Consider the following 223-nt stretch of genomic DNA (forward strand, 5'->3'; position numbering starts at 1 on the left):
ACACTCTGTATCTAGCTACTCTGGTGGGGCCTTGGAGAACCTTTGTGTCCACACTCTGTATCTAGTTAATCTAGTGGCCACGTGGAGAATCTTTGTGTCTAGCTCAGGGATTGTAAATGCACCAATCAGCACCCTGTCAAAACAGACCACTCGGCTCTACCAATCAGCAGGATGTGGGTGGTGCCAGATAAGAGAATAAAAGCAGGCTGCCCCAGCCAGCAGT

This window comes from Homo sapiens, chromosome 6 (genome assembly GCF_000001405.40).
Source record: "Homo sapiens chromosome 6, GRCh38.p14 Primary Assembly".
NCBI classification, from domain to species: Eukaryota; Metazoa; Chordata; class Mammalia; order Primates; family Hominidae; genus Homo; species Homo sapiens.